The 20,022-nt window shown below is 45.7% G+C and overlaps 1 protein-coding gene across 6 annotated transcripts in view, besides 5 other annotated features; it reads right to left on the reverse strand.

Annotated features, from left to right (window-relative positions):
- Positions 1,746–20,022, reverse strand: part of KCTD1 (potassium channel tetramerization domain containing 1) — a 202,564-nt gene continuing 184,287 nt past the window's right edge. For all 6 annotated transcript variants that reach the window (NM_001258222.3, NM_198991.4, NM_001258221.2 and 3 more), the window contains 2 exon segments: positions 6,456–6,761; positions 1,746–2,737 (listed from right to left, as the gene is read on the reverse strand). In NM_001258222.3, coding sequence (NP_001245151.1) covers positions 2,579–2,737; positions 6,456–6,761 — 465 coding nt within the window. In that variant the 3' untranslated portion in view covers positions 1,746–2,578.
- Positions 5,736–5,805: an enhancer, noted in NCBI's record as "active region_13184". NCBI's record gives its function as "activates an Ori minimal core promoter by ATAC-STARR-seq in GM12878 lymphoblastoid cells {active_cell/tissue: GM12878}" and the evidence as "EXISTENCE:reporter gene assay evidence [ECO:0000049][PMID:35858748]".
- Positions 7,375–7,674: an enhancer, noted in NCBI's record as "active region_13185". NCBI's record gives its function as "activates an Ori minimal core promoter by ATAC-STARR-seq in GM12878 lymphoblastoid cells {active_cell/tissue: GM12878}" and the evidence as "EXISTENCE:reporter gene assay evidence [ECO:0000049][PMID:35858748]".
- Positions 7,765–7,914: an enhancer, noted in NCBI's record as "active region_13186". NCBI's record gives its function as "activates an Ori minimal core promoter by ATAC-STARR-seq in GM12878 lymphoblastoid cells {active_cell/tissue: GM12878}" and the evidence as "EXISTENCE:reporter gene assay evidence [ECO:0000049][PMID:35858748]".
- Positions 15,918–15,977: an enhancer, noted in NCBI's record as "active region_13187". NCBI's record gives its function as "activates an Ori minimal core promoter by ATAC-STARR-seq in GM12878 lymphoblastoid cells {active_cell/tissue: GM12878}" and the evidence as "EXISTENCE:reporter gene assay evidence [ECO:0000049][PMID:35858748]".
- Positions 17,219–17,438: an enhancer, noted in NCBI's record as "active region_13188". NCBI's record gives its function as "activates an Ori minimal core promoter by ATAC-STARR-seq in GM12878 lymphoblastoid cells {active_cell/tissue: GM12878}" and the evidence as "EXISTENCE:reporter gene assay evidence [ECO:0000049][PMID:35858748]".

The raw sequence follows: 20,022 nt of genomic DNA on the forward strand, positions 1-20,022 counted from the left end.
CACTTGAACCCAGGAGGTGGAGGTTGTAGTGAGCCAAGATTGTGCCACTGCATTCCAGCCTAGGTGACAGAGTGAGACCCTGTCTCAAAAAGAAAAGAAAAGAAAAGAAAAAAGTGGTGATTCAATTATATTTTGACATTTTGATTGACCTACTCTTTCCTAAAGTATTTTGGTATCTGGGAATCTACATGTTTCAAGACCTAAAAAGGTCAACATTACAAGTGAAATGTTTGCTCCATTGAACTGGATCAGAGTTTTTGTAGAAACAATGTGCAACTGGGATGCAGTCATATAAATGGACCGAAGAACTTAGAAAAGAACAAAGTGGATGCCAGTAGCCAATGCACACCATTCTGTGCAGTATTTGGTTGGGACAATGCTAACTGCACATAGGCAGTCCTGGGTAAACATTAACTGATGACAATAACCAGCAGAGTCCCAAAGTGAGGCCCTTGCATTATTGTTTTGAGGAAATTCTGCCTAATGAGAATGGATTGCTAGTAAATCATAGAGCAATTTTATTCTCCTTTCAGTAAGACATGGATGACCGAGCAGCTGGTGGGAGCAGCCCTGTCTGTCCCCATCTGAGAGAGTGGTGTATTAGTCTCAAATAGGGAAATTACGCAGCAATGTGGAAGCCTGGCTAGCCGTCATTAAAGTAATTCAGTGTTTGGGCTGCCTGTGTTTCAGGCAGTGATAGGAGCCATTAACAGCTCACTTTTAGTTTCAGAAGCCAGAGATATTTTCATTACTAGTGTCCTCAGGCATACACTTTTTAATTTAAAAAAAGAAAGTAAGTTCAGGATGGAAATAACCCATCACCACAGGAATATCTCTGCACCAGAAACACATTCTAGTTTACCTGTCAATCTTACCAGCATGCCAGATTTATTTTGAGTGTCTGGAATGAGGAAGAGGAGGGAAGAAAGGTGGGTGTAGGGCCGATGGAGGAATCAGGGTCACTAATACCTTGGAAAAGCTGAGGACTTCATTCTAAAGTGCTGTTGAAATCTCAGGTTTTTTACTTCTCTGGCTAGTAATAAAATGATTGATAGTTCTGGCTCTGAGATGTTCCCTACTTCTTCCAAAGCCATAATGCCCTACTTTTAAGATGCTTTGGACAGGTGTTATGGTAGACTGAAGTTGGTCACAAATGCTTTGTTACTTTCCCCAACAGGAGGTTCTTATTTCCCCCTCATTGAGTCTGGGCTGGCCGTGTGGCTGTTCAACCAACAGAAAGCAGCAGAAGTGTACTGTGCAGTCCGGGGCCCAGGCTTTTAGAGAACTGTGGCTTTCTCTGCCTCCTTCTTGGAATCCACTTACCATGTTGAGAGGGGCCCAAGCCACATAGAGGCCAACAGCCAAGTATTTGCAGCCATCTGGGTGAGCCATCTAGGACATTCCACGCCAATCAGACCCCTGGATTGGAGCAGTGGAGCAGACATGGAGCAGATGCAGCCCAGCGAAGGCCAGTATCACAGGCCAGAACAAAATGTTTTAAGCCATTAAATTTTGGTGTGACTTGCTCTGCAGCCAGATAACTGAAATAGGTGTAACCGAAAAGTCCGTAAGAAGGAAGATTTACCTTGCTGACCAATGCAGAATAACAAAGCACAGGAAATAACATTTGCTGGGTCGGAAGACAACTGTCTGGAACAGGTGATGACATCCTTAGCCTTTAGTAGGTTTTGACTTCAAAACTGACCCCGGCTTTCATGCCTCTTTTTGATGCTCAACACGGACAATTTCAAAAAGAAAAAATTTCACTTTAATCCAGCCTCACCCCCACATGTGTGTTTCACACAGACCTTATTTTTTAAACAGAGTTTATTGTATTTAATACATTATAAAATTTGAAAAATTGTAGGAAAGCAGCAGACTTGAACTGGAGCAATTCTAACAAGGAATAATTCTGGCCCCTTGGCAAAACTGATCAGTTTTAAAACAAAGTAAAGTTCACATCTGTGAGGTGGACAAAAAAGTGTGACTTCTGTACAAACTACATTTAAAATTTCATGTCTAACATCTTTGCAATGTGCTCATGAGGGTTTTTCTGAAGTCCTGCCTGGTCCCTGCCTAAAGAAAGACGTGGAACCTCCATATACAAACAAACTTGATTCAAGGTGTTTTGTTTGTTTTGTTTTTTTAAAAAAAAAGGAAAAAGAAAGACAAAGGAAAAAAGAAATATGGATGGCTGTTGTTGGCAATGGAAACTGTAAGGAGACTGTGTCCTCACCACTCATGGCTTGTTTATTTGTCAGAGGCCTCGGAAGGCCCAGGACACTTCACGGCCATCACAGCACCAACTGCGGCTGTCACCTTTTTTTTTTTTCTTTTTTGCATTTCCTACCTTTTGACATATATATATATATTTATATATTTTTTACACCTTGAGGATATCACTATTCCAATTGTTCCCATATGAATACAGGTGTGGTCTCTATTGGATATAAATGTGTCTTTTATTCGATTTTACGTCCAGGACTTGGTTTGCTGTCCCAACTGCACATAAATGTCCCTTTTTTGTTTGAGTTATTGGTTGTGTGTGTTTTCCTTTTTGCATAAGAAATATGTCCATTTAGTCCAGAGGCTCTTGCTTTATCCGGATGACGGAGGGTACACGGGGCGTCCGCCTCAGTTCCCGCCGAAGGACGTATTCGCTGAACTGGGACGAGTCTACTCCTCCCCCACAGGAGCCCACGATTTCAAATCCTCTTTGCTGCAACCTCTCGAGGACCTGCGAGGGAACAAGACAAGCATCCAGTTAGGGGTGAGGTAAGTCCTATGGCTACATAAACACCCCAAAGTTTGAGATTATGCGCACTCTGGTTCATCTCATCCAGCACCCATGTCCCTGTGAGCTGCTCCTCTCAAAGGAAGACCCTGGATTAATGGGCAGGAGAGAGGAAGCAAGCATTTCTAATGCCTAAAATGTGCCTTTCATGCTTGCTTTACACACACCAGCTACAACACTCGATGGTGTTAGGCCCATTTTATAAATGAGAAAACTGAGGTTCATGGCTAGTCAGTGATGGGACTGGGTTTCCAACTCAGGTCTGTTTGGCCTCAAATCTCCTGTTTTTGTATATGCAATGCTGCCCTCTCTGTCAAAAATGAGGGTTCACATTTCAAAGCTCATTTATCACTAAAATACATCCTATGAGATGATAAAGAATCTGGAAAGGACAGTGATGGCAGAGTTTACTTAGTCAGTGATTCATTTGTACTCTCAACTCCGCCTTTGTTCAAGTTTTCCTAATACCGAGTTAATATATATGTTTTGGCCTGGAAGATTGATGTAATTTCAATAGCAGAACAAAGGGATTACTGAAGACACTAGAGGATTATCTACAGGTTTTCAAGTTTGTAACATCTGAAACAGATTTATTGCCCTGCATTCATTCAAGGAGACAAGAACCAGCACAATGATTACATATTAGAAAATGTAAGAAAAATAAAGATATTCTAAACTTCTTATACAAATGTAAGCCATAGAATCTGTTCCTTAATTTTGAAATCAAAAACCTAACGCCAGCAAGATTCCTGGGTTTGGCACTACATGTCTGACACTGTTAAATGCAGGAAACAGTACCTGTGACTCTTAGATTAGATAGACAAAAATACAGGAAACTGATCTGGAGCATTCTGTTTCTTTAGGAATCCAACAAATATTAGACTTGCAAATGTTTCCTGCCCGAGTTCTGAATATAATTAAATTACTTCCACACCACCTTAAAGGCAAAGTGATTCAATCATAACTTAAAAAAAAAAAACAAAACAAAAAAACCCACCTCAAAAAAACTTTTATTGGAATGAACTGAAATGTAGTCAATGTAAAGTGAATCCTTACTTTTTTAAAAAGTATTATTTTTTAGTTGCCTACTTCAATATAGAATATAGTCTGCTATGTTGCAAAACAGCTTACTAGATGAGATGGGAAAGCAAGAGAGTATGTTTTCTAAAAATTAATTAAAACCTCAAGTGCTGGCAAATTAAAAAAACATACACAAGTCCTTATAAGAACAAAATTAACATTCTACCCAGCAGTGCTCTATTTCTGTAGGTAAATTCACAATGCATATGCATACCTGTCAGCATAAGGACAGGAAGAAAACAATCCCTAAATTCAAAATCAAGATGTGCTTTGGTGGCAGGTAAATACAAAGACGAAGAACAGCTCCCTCCATGGATTCCCCAGCAGAGGCAGGAATGCAGCCCTCAGCAAGAGGCATCCCAGCTTGCTTGGCCAAACCAGCACCCTGGAAAAGATCCCTTGCCATGATTAGGAGAGGAAATCCAAAGGGGAGGAAGCCATGAACAGCAGAGAACCTAACCCTGATGTCCATTTTTCTTTGAGTCTTAAGGTCACTAAATGCTAACAGGAGGAAATCGCTAAGCTCTTCTTCGGAGTCCGATAGGCATCATGTGATAATTATTCAATGTGATCCAATGTTACCTTGGATGTGGTCAAAAGCTTATTTCAATGTAATGCAAACAGCTGATGGAGCCATTACTTTGGAAACAACAACACGTTCACAGCAAAGTTCCTTAAACAGTGATCACACAACAACTTAGTGAGGTATCGGGTGTCGTAAGCCTTATCCCAGAGTCTCTGCGTGCCCATAGGCTGGTGCCTATTTCTTGGTCGGTGGAGCAGGACGCAAGGGTAGGTCATGGCTGTGTCATATGACCACGTTAATCCAGATGAAAATTTCCATATCTGATGTGGGAAACTGTCAAGCACATGAATTGATGATCGTTATTCACTGGCCCAAAGGTGTGGCCGAGGCCTTCCTGTCCTGGCTCTGAATGGTTCTGCCCCTCTGTCTGCTCCAGTGATAGCCAGGGCAGGCTGTTGTGTGGAAGGGGACAGGCTTTCTGGGCTTTAAAGAGGCTTAAACTGCTGAGGCCGTCTCAGGAACGCTGTGCAGGGCCATGCGGGAGCACCACACACCTCCAGGGGACGCTCTCCGCACAGGTGAGAACGCGAATCTCGTCCTCGGGAACCCTGCGACCCAGCAGCCAGCCCGCCGCCTGGGAGCATGTGCCTTCCGCTAGCATGCTTAGGGAACATTTTCTGCCAGTTTTCTGCTCTTCTGTTCTCAGACATCTGTTCATATATTTTAAAGAGTTATAAATAGTAGTGGAACAATCCTCAAGAGGCAGCACAGAAGAGTGGGTGCTTCTAGTCTCTGTGCTTTGGGAAGGGTTCTGCTGACTAAATACTGAACAAAGTCATGGGCCCATTCCAGTTAAAAAGAGGGAAAAAACTAGAACCCTCACTCCATTGACTTCAAATGGTTTTGTGTCACACGGAGCTGGAATCGAGACCCAGGTGTGCCTCTGCCTTCCCATCAGCAAGACAGAGAGGATTAACAGTGCTTACCTGTTAGGGTTGTAAGAAGACAACACATGCTCAGGCCATGGCCCAGGGTAGGGCAGAGAGTCGGTGCTCAGCACACATTAGCCTCTGAGTTCTCAATTCCACCCCCACATCTCTTGCTCCCCTACACTTCTCCATCTCAGGAAATGGCAGTTCCACTCACCCAGTTCCTCTGTCAAAAATCTTAGTCATCCCGGGCTTATGTCTCACAACCCACAGCCATCGTCAGAAAACCTTATTAGCTCTACCCTCCAGACACACACAACTGGACACTTTTCAGCTGCTTGAACCACAGCTTGCTGCCTGGTCTCCTTGTTTCTCCTATTCTCTAGCTGCTGTCGCAATGTTCACTTTAAAATACGAGTTCTGTCAGTTCTCCCTTCTGCTCAAAACCCTCCAATGGATTTCCATTTGGCTCACATACACAAACGAACCAAAACCAAAAGATGCCAAAATAAACAATCCTAGGGCACTTGCCACCTCCTAACGAGGCTCTCCGTGATCTGTCCCTGATTTTCCCGGGCCTCCTGTCTGGGTACTCTCTCTCCCTGAGTCACTTTCTTCAAGCCAAACTGGCTTTCCTGATAGTCCTCAATATGCCAGCATACTCTGCCCCAGAAATCCACTTACCACCTCCTGGGCAATATATTTATGTTGACTGTTTGCCTCCCACTCCACTCCCATAATGCAGTTCCATGAACACAGAGCTGTCCATCGTGTTCTGTGTCTGTCTGTCTCACTATGTTGCCCAGGCTGAACCTGAACTCCTGGGCTCAAGTGATCCTCCTGCCTTAGCCTCTGGAGTGGCTGGGACTATAGGCGTGTGCCACCGTGCCCAGCTGTCGTGTTCTATATCTGTCTCTTCTGTATCTCCAGTGCTCATCCCAGCACCTGGCACAATCACAAGACTTACGGAATGACTGCTATAGAGGGTGATAATTCACCTACCCAACAGAAGTGTCACTGAGTGAGTTTCTAAGCTCTTTGGAGGAAAGGCACCATGTGAGGGCAAGGTTAAGTGACAACAGTAAGAGTGGCATTTGATGCCACACAGTGCGTAACAATGCTATACCTGGACTGAGTTGAGGTGACAGTAGCCATTTAGTGGAAACCTGATGACGTGCGTCGAGTCGTGATTCCAGCCTGCATTGACAGAGTTACACATCACGTCGCCGATCTCTGGAAATACTTCTTCTATCAAGGATTTGTCACCGCTTAGCGTGATCCTTTCTCCGAGGTCTGGGGCCACACGCACGACGAGGCACTCACAGGGCCTTGAAAATCGACCAGTTTCTCTGTCCTGCTTCCATCTTTCCATCTCCAACAACATGGGCTGAAGCTGAAAATATTTTGCCTCTTCATATAACAAAGTGTAGTCCTGGAAAAAAAAAAGGTATTTCACAGTGCAAACTGCAAACATAAAGTACTAAACATGTCCACATCTAAGAGGTGATTTTTTTCCACTTCTTGTTATGTCACTAATCAAATCTGCATGTGCGTTTTTCACTTACGACATGTTTGTAGAGGCTCAATTTGCATTCATTCATTCATTCATTCATTCAGTGAAGATAAAAGGAGCTGAGTAGATTAGGGCTGGTCAGGCCTCTTCTAAGTGCTTTACATGATTTAAATCCTGTAACCCTCGTCAATGCCCAGTGAATTAGGAACCACTATTATTCCCATTTTGCAGATGAGAAAACTGAGATGTGAAAGGATTCACCCAAGACTTGTTTCTTTTAGTAGAAAAAATGTCTTTGGGTATTTCAAGTTTGATTGTGTCGGTGAGAACCCAATTTCTATCCTCTTGGATGGAACGCATATATTGACCAAGGGGAGGCATAAGCTTGCCAATGGGCACCCTTCATCAGAAGCTCCCGGTCACCTTTGGTGGCCACAGGAGGGTGTGGGACAGAGATATGAGGCTAGAGACAGGCAGGGATGGGCACCTGGAGGGCAGGCATGTGGCTTTTACTTGAACCTAGGTGTTGATTTGTGATGGTTTGGGGGAGGCTGGTGGACAGCTGGAAGGCTAGTGTACTGCCCTGTGCCACCTGATGGAGCTGCCATCATAGAGTCAGAGACATAAACAACTTTAGGCCTCGACTCCTGCAAGATGTGCAATAAAGAAAACCTGTCCATTTCTGCATTTCTGAAAGCAAGAACACCTGGTCTTTTGGCATGGTTTCCTTTCCTCCAGCCTTAAAATAATCTGTTGAATTGAAACAGAAACCTAACAAAACAGGTATTAAAACACACACATAAGCCACTGAATGGGAAGACAAAAGAGAATGAGGGGGAGGCAGCAACTCAGGAACAATGTTAACAAGCAGGTCAATGTTATGGCTAAACGTAGCTATGGCCACAATCATTTCTGGGTGTAAGATAAGTGGATACTTGTCTAGACATGTTGACTGAGAACATTTTAATCAGCTGACACAGGCATTTGTGCCTTCCGTCCATGGGCAAGAGCTGGCAGGGGATGCCCAGTGCCTGCATGACAGCCAATGTTGCAAACATGTGGTCCGAGTGCCTCAAAGAGGCCCCTGATGTCCAGATGGGCTAGAGTATGAGAAGCACAAGATGACCATGGGATAAATATTTTTATTTTGCACTTTGCTCTTTCTCTTGCAAATCAAGCAATAGCAGCAGCAGCTGTAGCGGCATTATTCAACGCTTCCAGAGAAAACAGCATGGAGAGATGACAGTACTTGGGGGTCTTTAGCTGGGTAATCCACTTTCCATATAAAGAAACTCAGATCAGGTAGAAGATGCTGATGACGACACTCATCTCAGTGGAATGGGCTGCTGCTTTATTCTGTCCTTTTCCTGGCAACCCCCTTACCACAGGAGTCTTGGTTCCCTGCAGGAAAGGAGCCCACTGCTCTGAAAATCTTCCTTGCACATGTTCTACCTGCTTAGCCTCCTGACCCAGAGGAGATACTGTTTTGCTTTAAGGAGCTGAAAACTAGGCTGAGGTGTGGCCACTCTTAAGACAGGGCAGAACCGGGGCCCTTAGCCCAGCCTGAGGGGTAGGAGTGGGGAAGCCTCTGCAGGTTCCTCCTGGTTCTACCTGGGATCCCCACTCTGGGGCTTTGTCATCTTGGCATCACGCCAACTGTAAGATACTGACCTAAACACTTATTTACCAAGGAGATTTTAAACAGCAATGAGAGTTACACAAGCAAGAGAAGCGAGAACTTATGCTATTGCTTTTTATTTTCTTGTGAGATTTAATTACAAAACTTAGCACAAGGAAGGATCTAGACTCCAGTGAAAATATCTTATCGGCTGGGCGTGGTGGTTCACGCCTGTAATCCCAGCACTTTGGGAGGCCGAGGCAGGTGGATTATCTGAGGTCAGGAGTCTTGAGACCAGCCTGGCCAACATGACGAAACCCCGTCTCTACTAAAAATACAAAAAATTAGCCGGGCATGGTGGCGGACAAAGCCCTGATCTCCCAATGTGTCCAAAGTGAATGAAGCTAACAGGAAGGACTTGGGGTTAGAAGTCCTCCCCATGCTGACCCTGAGTTCTCACCATCTTTTCTTCCTTCTAGGTTCACAAGCCACTTGTTTAATAATCCACTCTGAGGTCTGGCCCTGGATGGGCAGTGAGGCTCACAACATAATGTTGCTCCAATTCATTGTTACCCACTCTTGGAAAAGTCGAGAAACACTGGCCCTTTTCAGATTTTTGGCCCTGCTCAGTGACCACTCTGGGATCCTGCTAGGGTTTATTAAAGTGAGAGTCAGAAGCGCTCCTATGAAGGTCATCTTGCCCCTGGGCTAGAGTCTCATGGGCCTAGCGCTGAACTGCTTTAAGCCACCAGGTGTTCTTTTACTCTCTCTTGATCATCCTGGCTCCATTTTTTCCTTTACTATGCTGTTCTATCTAGTCTCCAGAGTAGAGCCACTGCTATGTCACGGGGAGCAGATGACAGAGAACAGCTGAGCACTCATGCTTCTCTCTGGTGACTGCTCATCATGCTGCCTTGCCTCTAAGCACTGGCTGGCCAGAGAACTGAAATGATCCTTCTTGCTGCGTTACCATTTTCTGCACACGGTGAAGTGCACATTGGCCATTCATTTTCTTGGCAGGCTCCTTTGTGTCTGTCTTTCTATCCTGTCTAACACCCGCCTACAGTCTTAGCTCATCAGAAATGAACCTGCAAAGCAGAGTCAGTCCCATTGGCTACTGTCTTTAGAAACCTTTCCTTCCTTAAATGGGATCATTTAACTTTACTCTCTAAGTACCACGGTTTTTAAAGTTTAGTGTGTTTCTGTTAGGTTCTCTGGCCTTGTGCTTATTTCCTTCAGGCCTCTGAATTTTCTGAAATCTTTCCTTAAGCCTTTGTTCTAATCTGGCAATGTCCTTTCTGGGGCTTTTACAAACTCGAGATGATGGGTCTCTTGTTTCCAAGGTACTTGGTGGAAATAGGCAGGGGTTTATGGGGCAGCAGCAGGTTCAGCACCTGTTTTTCTGAAGGAAATGAATTCACAACATCCACTTTTCCTCCCTTCTGAGAAATAAGCTTTCAGCAAAGCCACTCAAGAGTGTGCTAGATGCTATCACTCTTCTGCCCTGTCCTATGTCCATTTTATCTTCTCTGATTAAGAAGCACCATCTGGCCAGGCACAGTGGCTCACACCTGTAATTCCAGCACTTTGGAAGGTGGAGGCAGGAGGATTACTTGAGGCCAGGAGTTCAAGACCAGCCTGGGCAACGTAGGGAGACCCTGTTTCTATAAAAAGTAAAAATATTAGCTGGATGTGGTGGCCCGGGCCTGTGGTCCCAGCTAAGTTGAGGCTGCAGTGAGCTATGTTTGCATCACTGCACTCCAGCCTAGGAGACCGAGAAAGACCCATCTCAAAAAAAAAGAGAAAAAAAAAGGCACCATCCATATTTCTTGCTTAGCCCCATATACATTTAAAGGGAAATCAGTTACTCACAGACCTATTATCATGTTTAAATCATTTCAAAATCTTAGAATACGGTTTTTTTTTTTTGAGATGGAGTTTCGCTCTTGTCATCCAGGCTGGAGTACAGTGTTGTGATCTCAGCTCACTGCAACCTCTGCCTCCTGGGTTCAAGCGATTCTCCATCCTCAGCCTTCTGAGTAGGTGGGATTACAGGTGCCCACCACTACGCCCGGCTAATTTTTGTATTTTTAGTAGAGACGGGGTTTCGCCATGTTGGCCAGGCTGGTCTCGAACTTCTGACCTCATGTGATCCACCTGCCTCAGCCTCCTGAAATGCCGGGATTACAGGCGTGAGCCACCACGCCCGGCCTGAATACATATTTTTTAAATAATTTAAGATTTACAATGATTTTTTTGAGGCAGGAAGATCAAGATCTCATTTTACATATGAGCTTCCCTAAGATCCTGAGGACAGGTACAGGGGACAAGAAAACAGACATGGGTGGTGGACTCCAAAATGCAAACAGGCCAGGTTTTGAAACTTCTTTCTTGATTACATAATTGGAATTCAGAAAATATCCTCCCTAGAGGGAGGAAAACGATATATTCAGTGTATTAGGTTCCTACTGCTGCTGTGAGAAATTACCACAAATTTGGTGGCTTAAGACAACACAAATTTATTCCCTTACAGTTCTTCAGGTCAGAAGTCGGAAATGGATCTCACTGGGCTGAAGTCATGGTGCCGGCAGGGATGCCTTCCTTCTGGAGGCTCTGGGGACAAATCCACTTCCTCATCTTTTCCAGCGTCCAGAGGCTGCGAGAATTCCTTGGCCCATGGCCAGCAAGCACATCACTTCTCTCATCCCATCTTCTCTAACCCCGGCCCTCCTGCCTCCCTCAAATAAGGACCGCTGTGATTATACAGGGCCCACCTGGATTATCCAGGCTAATCCTCCCATCTCAAGACCCTTAACTTAATCACATCTGCAAAGTCCCCTTTGCCATGCAAAGCATTGTATTCACAGGTTCTGAGGACTGGGGCAAGCTTCCCCCTCACAGTCAACGGTTCTGCAAAACAGTTGAAAGGCTTATTTTCTGAATGTACCTGAGGCTTTACCCAGAAGCTGACAGATCCTTAACACTCAAAAGGCAACTCAACTGTTCACCCATTTCATTTTAAAAACTGTGTAGGTGCCAGATGCCGTGGAAGGCACCGTGAGCACAAAAAGGATTTTTCTCTGAGGAATGTCTCCAATACCTCCCAGGAGCTCTAGCTCTCCTCACCCCCAGGCTTAGGGGGCAGTGGGATCCTGCTCTTGGGACCCTCGGCAGTGGGTGGTTCCCTAGCAGGCAGGGCACCTATGTATCAGGGGTACCACCAGCAAAGCAGGGGTGCCAAGAAAATGAAAGGATTTTACCTTTTCCATTTCCAAAACAGCAACCAAGTAGTGGTCATCATAACAAAAGACAGATCTCTGTAGCACTTACTTTCCTTTGGTTTTAAAGATTTTGTTTATCTTGTCGGGGATGGAGGTTGGGGGAGTGGCCACTGCAGTTTTTTCAGTGTTTAGGGTACTAAAGCTCTTAATTGCCCTGGCCTTGTAATACTCCTTTGGGCTGGAATAATTTCTTTTTTAATGGAGTTTCTCTCTCCTTGTCCAGGCTGGAGTGCAATGGCATGATCTTAGCTCACTGCAACCTCTGCCTCCCAGGTTCAAGAGATTCTCCTGCCTCAGCCTCCAGAGTAGCTGGGACTACAGGTGCCCGCCACCATGCCCGGCTAATTTTTGTATTTTTAGTGGAGATGGGGTTTCGCCATGTTGGCCAGGCTGGTCTTGAACTCCCGACCTCAGGTGATCTGCTCACCTCAGCCTCCCATAGTGCTGGGATTACAGGTGTCAGCCACCGTGCCCGGCCCATTCTTTCTTTTCTTCAAAGCCTGGAGGGACTGGCCCACGTGCCCCTTTTCTCCTGCCACTACTTGACAGTTCTCACCAGGCAGTCCCCTCCTCATCCAGGGGCACTGACTCCCAGCTTCTCCCGACTACTCTTGTTTTCCTGGGTCAAGGATACCCAGACTAGGATTAGTCTTGATGGCTACTGAAAGAAATGGAAGCAGCAGCAGTGTCCCGTCTACGCCCTGCCACTGTCTCCACTCCCATCTTACAGACAGAAGCACACACAGGTGACCGTGTCAGGGTGCTGACGGCGGGACGGAAGGCAGGCCCACCAGCATTCTGAAACAACACCCTGGCTTGGAAAGTCACGAGGACGCCACACCACAGGAGCTAGGCCTGATGTCTAGGGCGTGCTGAGGGAGGGGGCCAGAGACACCATCGGAGATGGTGCCGGGGTGGGGCTGGCTGCTCTTCCATCCTCCCAGTCCTGCCTCTGGGAAAATATCCTTGGGAGGAGAAAAGAGGTCATGGGCAGTACCAGACAGCGCTAGTCACCAGACCACGGATACAGCCTCGGTGGCGGCAGCTGAGGCCGTGGTCTGGGGCATGTCCTGAGTAGGCACTCCCGCAGGTACCAGTGAAGAAACTCTGGCGAGTGGGGGCCTATCCAGGTCGCCACTCTGCCTTCTCCGAGAAAGACCTACCCGCAGGTACGGGTGAAGAAACTCTGGCGAGTGGGGGCCTATCCAGGTCGCCACTCTGCTTTCTCTGAGAAAGTTCTACCCGCAGGAATGAGGACCTAGAAGCAATGTGTGTGTTGCCACAGCTGATTGGCTAAAGTACAGGCATGGAGCCAAGCTGAGCCAATCAGATGGTGTCTCTGTAGGACCAAGGGAGGGGAACGAGGCCCTGGGCTTGCTGAGACTGGCACATGTTAATGGCACCTCCTGCAATTTAAGTCTTCAGGGCGGTCCTGTTGTTTCCATCCCTGAGAGAAAGCTTCCACTAATTCTATGAGATAAACTAGTAAGCGCTTCCTGTCAATACTCCCTTTAACTTTTCCTTAAGCTGGACAACTGGTTCTCGAGCAGGAGTAATTTTGACACTAGAGGGCATTTAGCAATGTCTGGAGACACTCTTGGTTGTTGCAACCGGGAAGGGGGTGCTACTGGAATTTGATGGGTAGGGAGGGATGCTGCTGAAAACCCTATATTGCACAGGACAGCCCCCACCACAAAGAATTGTTTGGCCCCAAATGTTACTTTGAGCTTGACAGAGATCGTTTTTATTGCAGCCTAAGGAGCATGCAACTCACCTTGATACAATGATCAGTTCATTCCTAGCATCATTAATGGTGGCTCAACCACATGCCTTTGCTACTGTGAGGTAGTATGAAGCAAACAGCATCACTGTGATGTATTCTCCCCAACAAGTCTAACGTAAACCCATCATGTCTTTAGAGATGACTTCCAGTTTACAGGAAATTAAGGGATAGATTCATGAGCTAAACTACACATGACAAGGCAACCACACAAATCGAGATGGCAGGACATTTTGCAGGACAGCTAGCCCAGTCTCCAGCAAGTTGTAAAGGGCATTGTGGAGTCAAGCAGGGAAACTCAAATATAGTTGTGGAATTAGAGGAAATAATTTTTTTTAAATGGAAAGGTAAAGGTTATTGTCCAAAATAAGCACAGGAAAAGATCCAGAAGGCTACTCACTAATGTTTTAACATTGGCAGTCTGAGTGGTGGGAACATACGGTATAGTTTGTTTTTTTTTTTTTGGTTTGTCTATATTTTTAAATTCTCTACAATGTACATGTACTTCTTCTATAATATTAAAATGTTATTAAAAATAAACAATAGAGGTTGGTTGTGGTGGTGGCTCACACCTGTAATCCCAGCACTTTGAGAGGCCAAGGCAGGAGGATTGCTTGAGCCTAGGAGTTTGAGATCAACCTGTGGCGGCTCAGTGAGACCGTCTCTACAAAAAATGAAAAACTAGCTGAGTGTGGTGGTGCATGCCTGCAGCCCCAGCTACTTCGGGGGCGCTGAGCGGGGAGGACTGCTTGAACCTGGGAGGTTGAGACTGCAGTGAGCTATGATTGCACCACTGCATTCCAGCCTGGGTGACAGCGCAAGACCCTGTCTCAAAAAAAATTTTTTAAGGCCGGGCACAATGGCTCATGCCTGTTATCCCAGCACTTTGGGAGGCCGAGGTGGGTGGATCACCTGAGGTCAGAAGTTCAAGATCAGCCTACCAATATGGTGAAAACCCATCTCTACTAAAAATACAAAAGTTAGCTGGGCATGGTGGGGGGTGCCTGTAATCCCAGCTACTTGGGAGGCTGAGACAGGAGAATCACTTGAACCCAGGAGGCGAAGGTTGCAGTGAGCCGAGATTGCACCATTGCACTCCAGCCTGGGTGACAGAGCGAGACCCTATCTCAAAAAAACCAATTTTTTTTAAATTAATTAAAAAAATACCCAATAGACTTTTGAACATATCCAGGGCTAGGTAAGTTGGGAGCTGCCTGCCAGCAAGTTTGTCTATGTCTAGGAATGGTGGACATACAGACAGACCATGAAAGATGTGAGCAACATGGGGGCCACTTACCAAAGATGATGTTAAAGATAAAAGGCTACAGAGAGAGAGAGAGAGAGAAAGAGAGAATTGTGTGGTTCTCCATAAAAAATGGGGCCGAAGCTCTAGACTCTTGGTGTGCTGAGAGTTGCAACCACGTGTGTGTGTGTGCCTATGCATGCGTACACGCTCATGTGCAGGGCATAAAACAACAATGAGCAAATCAGTAAAATTGGAGGGAGGGGAAAATTAAGGGAAGAGGGACAGTCATATCCATAATAAAACACTGCAGAAAAGTTCTGCAATCACTTATGCAGAGAACAGATCTCAACAGCTTTCCATGGAAGCCAGGACAGGAGCAACTGCCACTTAAATGGTGTTCTGAAATATGAAATTATCTCAAAGATGAAATGGGTATCCGGCTCGGACAGCACATTTGCGGAATGAGATTTTAGGGGTGGAGGATCTTGTGACTTCAGGATTGAATGCACTTGTTCACCCAGTATTAAATGGCTAGGGAAAGAAGCAGGTAATCAATAAACATTCTCCCTAACAAACTTAGTGAAAGAGATTCTCTCCTCATGCAAAAAACCATGTCCTGGCCGGGCGCGGTGGCTCACACCTATAATCCCAACACTTTGGGATGCTGAGGTGGGCGGATCATTTGAGGTCAGGAGTTTGAGACCAGCCTGGCCAACATGGTGAAACCCCATCTGTACTAAAAATATAAAAATTAGTGTGCCTGTGGCGTGGTGGCGTGTGGTGGCGTGTGCCTGTAGTCCAGCTACTTGGGAGGCTGAGGAAAGAGAACTGCTTGAACCCGGGAGGCGGAGGTTGCAGTGAGCCGAGATCGTGCCGCTGCACTCCAGCCTGGGCGACAGAGCAAGACTTTGTCTCAAAGAAACCAAAAAACCCCAAAAGCCATGTCCCTCCCAGGTTCAAGAGAAAACTCTGACGAGGAAGAAAGCACCAATAGTACTGTTCAGGACGTGCAGACTGAAAGCTCCTATGTGTACCTGTATTTGTGACTCCTGTAAACTGCACTGCTCCTGCTGATGCAATTCCATCACCAGCCACCAGAGCGGAAGGACCCCTTCAGCTTCTGCTGCCCCTCCCAGGTCCCAGAACACCCTGTACTGTAATTTACAGCCTGTCACCAGAGGTTCTGTGGGAAATGTTTTAAGGCCCTGGGATATGTGAGTTTCATTTGACATGCTTTTGTTTTTTTTTTTTTCCCTCAAGCGTGGGTTACAGCTAAATCCTTAGCCAATTAAAGGGTGTGTTTGGTACTTAGAATTGATAAATAGCAGGTCTTTAAGAGCTCTGGAATCCTCAGGGAGCACGCAAAAGGTGCAGAGAAGCAGCTGTGCTAATCCTAGGCAGGTGGGTGGGTGAGTCCTTAAGCAAACTGGCCACAGTTGAACTCCGTGTGGAAGTTTTTCCCTCCCCAGCACCTAACCTGAATGCTCTTGGAGGAAAAATAATGCCTGCTATGTAGGTTTATGTGCTGAGGTTTAGTTAAACCAAAGTGCGTGCCTAAAATACCTGGCTCAGTTTCTGGAACATACTGCAACTAAAAATGAATGGCTACTATCATTTCTAACTGTAATTCCCAATATATTCTTTTGTGATTCCCTGCAGCCTGCATCCTTTTCAATAATGGGAATTATAAATTAATATTATTCTGATAAGCAGCATACAATGATGATATTATATACACGTTTTGTATTTTCTACTTAGTCCTATATAATTTTGAAAGGAAGTGCATTGCCTATTCATATTTAGATTGTGGCTTCCTGCATCTCTTTTAACCCTTTTCTGCTGTATTTCAGTGAATTAATACTAAGCATTGATTATGTGCCCAACACACAATGTCCTCTGGAAAAACATAAAAATGTCCCTGCCTGGAGAATCGCTTGAACCTGTGAGGCAGAGGTTGCAGTAAGCCAAGATCGTGCCACTGCCCATCTCAAAAAAACAAACAAACAAACAACAAACAAACAAAAAGGCCCTGCCTGCAAGAACCTTATAATGCAGCAAGGAAGTGAAGATATATACACAAAATATCCAGAGTCCAAACATCAGAAAGTAGATCAGCAGGTTTCAGATGAACTGGTGGGAACAAGAGCCTAGTTTGCATGTTAGCCTCACTCCATTCATCTATTTACCCATCCATGCGTTCATTCACTCACGCCACAAATATTTACATGCTTAATATGTGGCAGGTGCTGAGCATGTGGGACAGATGCTGCTGGCTAGCTTCCCCAACAGCTATTTCAACCTCTTTCCCTTGCCTATTTCTCTTACTACAGAGGCTAAAAATAAGCGAAGAAAAAAAAATCCCTTTCTCAGCCACCAAGGAGAGGCTCCGTTCTGGCCAATGAGCCACAAAGGGAAAGCCTTCTGTGGGATCGTCTGACAAGGACAGAGTCTTGTGAGTTGAAAAGCTGTCTGTCCCTTTATCCTGCCTTGACTGAGGATGTGACGCCTGGAATGGTGATGCCTGGTGCCGTGATGCAGTCACCATATAATCTTGAGGTGACAGGCATGAGGCCAGAACGTCAACACTGAGGATGGCAAAACAGAAAGACAGAAAGCTTCCTGGTCCTCGATAACATTGCTGGGCAGATACCTCTGCCACAGGCCTCTGACTTCTCACGTGAGAAAAACAAATCTCCTATAGTGTAAGCCGCTGTTAATTGGCTGTTCCCACTCTCGTAGCTGGAAGCGTCCCTACCTCACAGCTGCGCAGATGGTGCTGCACAGTGAGTGATAGATGCACTGCGTGTGACCACGGAGAGTCAGGGGTACAGGTGAGCCTAAGCTACACCAGGCCCAGGTAGGTTTGCTGGGGGATGTGGTGAAAAAGATGACTCCTGAATTCCAGTAAAGGCCAGGGGAATGGCTGCATAGGCACACAGAGGGGCAGTTGTCAGGGGGCAAGAGGAGGGTGTGTCTGAGGGACCAAGAGAAGTCCTGTAGGGACATGTGGAGGGCAAGAGTGGGTGAGGTGGGCAGGGGCCAGAGCTTTCTGGGCCTTGTGGGCTCTGACAGGGATGTGGTGCTTTGCTCTGTGAGACAGAAGAATGAATGGAAGAAGCCATGGCTGCTCATTTCTGCTTGACCCTCTGACTCTGGGAGGACGTGCAGGTCTCCAGGAAAATGCCTTGAAGACACAACAAAGCCGAGTATACAGCCCCCCCAGGTCTCCTGCCTGAGTCACTACATTCCTTAAGAGATACATGACCCTAGTCTTTGCCTTTTCTTCCGTATGAGATAAAGTCTGACAGGTTGGTGATGACGCTTCTGTAATCTATAACACGCTGTACTCTTACACCCAAAGCTCGATGTATTCTGCTTGTAGCGTCTGAGCAAGTGTGATGTGATTTTCCATGTACTGAACCTCCACCGCCTATATAACAAGCTGTGGGCTGAAATCCTGTGTGGGACCTCAGTAAGACTTCCGAGTAAAACTAACTTTAATTCTTGAAAAGCTTGGTTTATCTTCTTCATTTGACAGTTTCAGGAACAAGAGAAAGTCCCTGCAGAATTTCAAGCAGGAGCAACTCATGATACAGTTTTTAAAAAGTGTCACATGGTCAGGGATGGGGTAGGATGGTGGCAGGGAGAGAGAGGGGTGGGCATAACTGTCAAATGACTACAGGAGGGATCCTTGTGGTGATGGAACTGTTCAGAACCTTGACTGTATCAGTGTCAATATCCTGGTTGTGATCCCAGTATTTTGCAAGATGTTATTACTGGGGGGAACTGGGTAACACAGCATCTCTATTATGTCTTACAACTGTATGCAAATCTATAATGATGTCAAAATTAAAAGTTGAATTTTTTAAAAGTGTCTCATAGTTTCAATGCAGAGAACAAGTCAAAAAGGGGTAAGAGTGGGAGGGGGTAGACCAATTGTGAAGCCACTCCAAGGAGTCCAGAGAGCTGCTGGGCCTTGGGCTAGGGAGGTGGGATGAGGGTAGTGGATTGATTCGCGATGCGTCCAGGAGGTTAAGATGACGGATGCGCTGACAGATCACACGTGGGAGGCGAAGAAGAGGAAAAAGTCCAGAAGGACTGCAGGTTCCTGCCTTGAGCAAGTAGGTGGATTCTGGCATCTTTTACTGAGATAGGATACAAAGGAAGAGGAGCAGATTTTGTTCTTGGTGGTGGTGGTGGCAGAGGGGGAGGCAGACAGAGTGAGCTCATTTTTGGGCATCTAAAGTTTAAAGAGCGAATGAACTATCCAGGCAGGGATTCTGGGTCGGCATTTGGAAATGCAATCACCTAAACATGAGGTGATTTTCATATTGTACTAACCAAACCTTCTCCTGATGAAGTCCAGGCTATATATAACTTAGCGAAAAATATAATGAAATCCTATGGCAGTTTTTCCTTACTAGTATACATGTCTGTAGCTGTGATAACTTGACTTCTTTTTTGACAACTTTATTTAAAAATTATTTTATTGTTTTATTTTAATGACTTAAGTCATATGTGAATGCCTGCTCATTGTAAAAACTAATGATAAAATTCATACTAAAGCATACGGAACTAAAAGTGAAATATCCTCCCTCACCCATTTCCAATTCTACTGCCTTTCCTCTAGGAAAATATGAGAGAGTAAGAAATTGTTCCCCCACCTCTCCACATCATGCTTTGGCCCTTCTCTCTACATGAGCTTACTTACTCCCTAAAGTGGGAAAGGGTCCAGAGCTGACTGGGGAGCGCCCGACGTTGGTGGCTCAGGTTGGACTAGTGGCCAGTCACTGCTGGAATCTGTGCCCTGGGCAGGGACCCAGCTTCCTGATTCCTCTTCCTGTCTCCACATGTGGCAAGCACCTGCTTTCTAGAACAGTCCTGGTTCTCTCCCTAGGTCTCTCTGTTTCACCTGCAGCTGCTGTGGGAAGCTGGCCTGCTCTCTTCAACTATGCCATTCATCAGCTGTGGCCTCGAAGACATGGGGCTGCTGTCTAAACCCAATCAGTCCCCTTGATCATGTCTGAGAGTGTGTGACCCCAGGTGCAGACTGAGGGCTGGAGGCAGAGACTGCACTTTGGCCTTGGGCCTGCAGAGTGTTGTCTAATTCAGCTATTATCTGAGAGCCCTGGATAAAATTTTTGCCCAAATTAATAAAGTAGCATGGAGAATAAGGCAGGAAAGAGGTTCAAAAGTTATCATGCCAAGAAAAAACTGTATATACTATATTGAAAATTATCTTGGAAAAGCCTCTA

Source organism: Homo sapiens, chromosome 18 (genome assembly GCF_000001405.40).
Source record: "Homo sapiens chromosome 18, GRCh38.p14 Primary Assembly".
Classification (NCBI taxonomy): domain Eukaryota; kingdom Metazoa; phylum Chordata; class Mammalia; order Primates; family Hominidae; genus Homo; species Homo sapiens.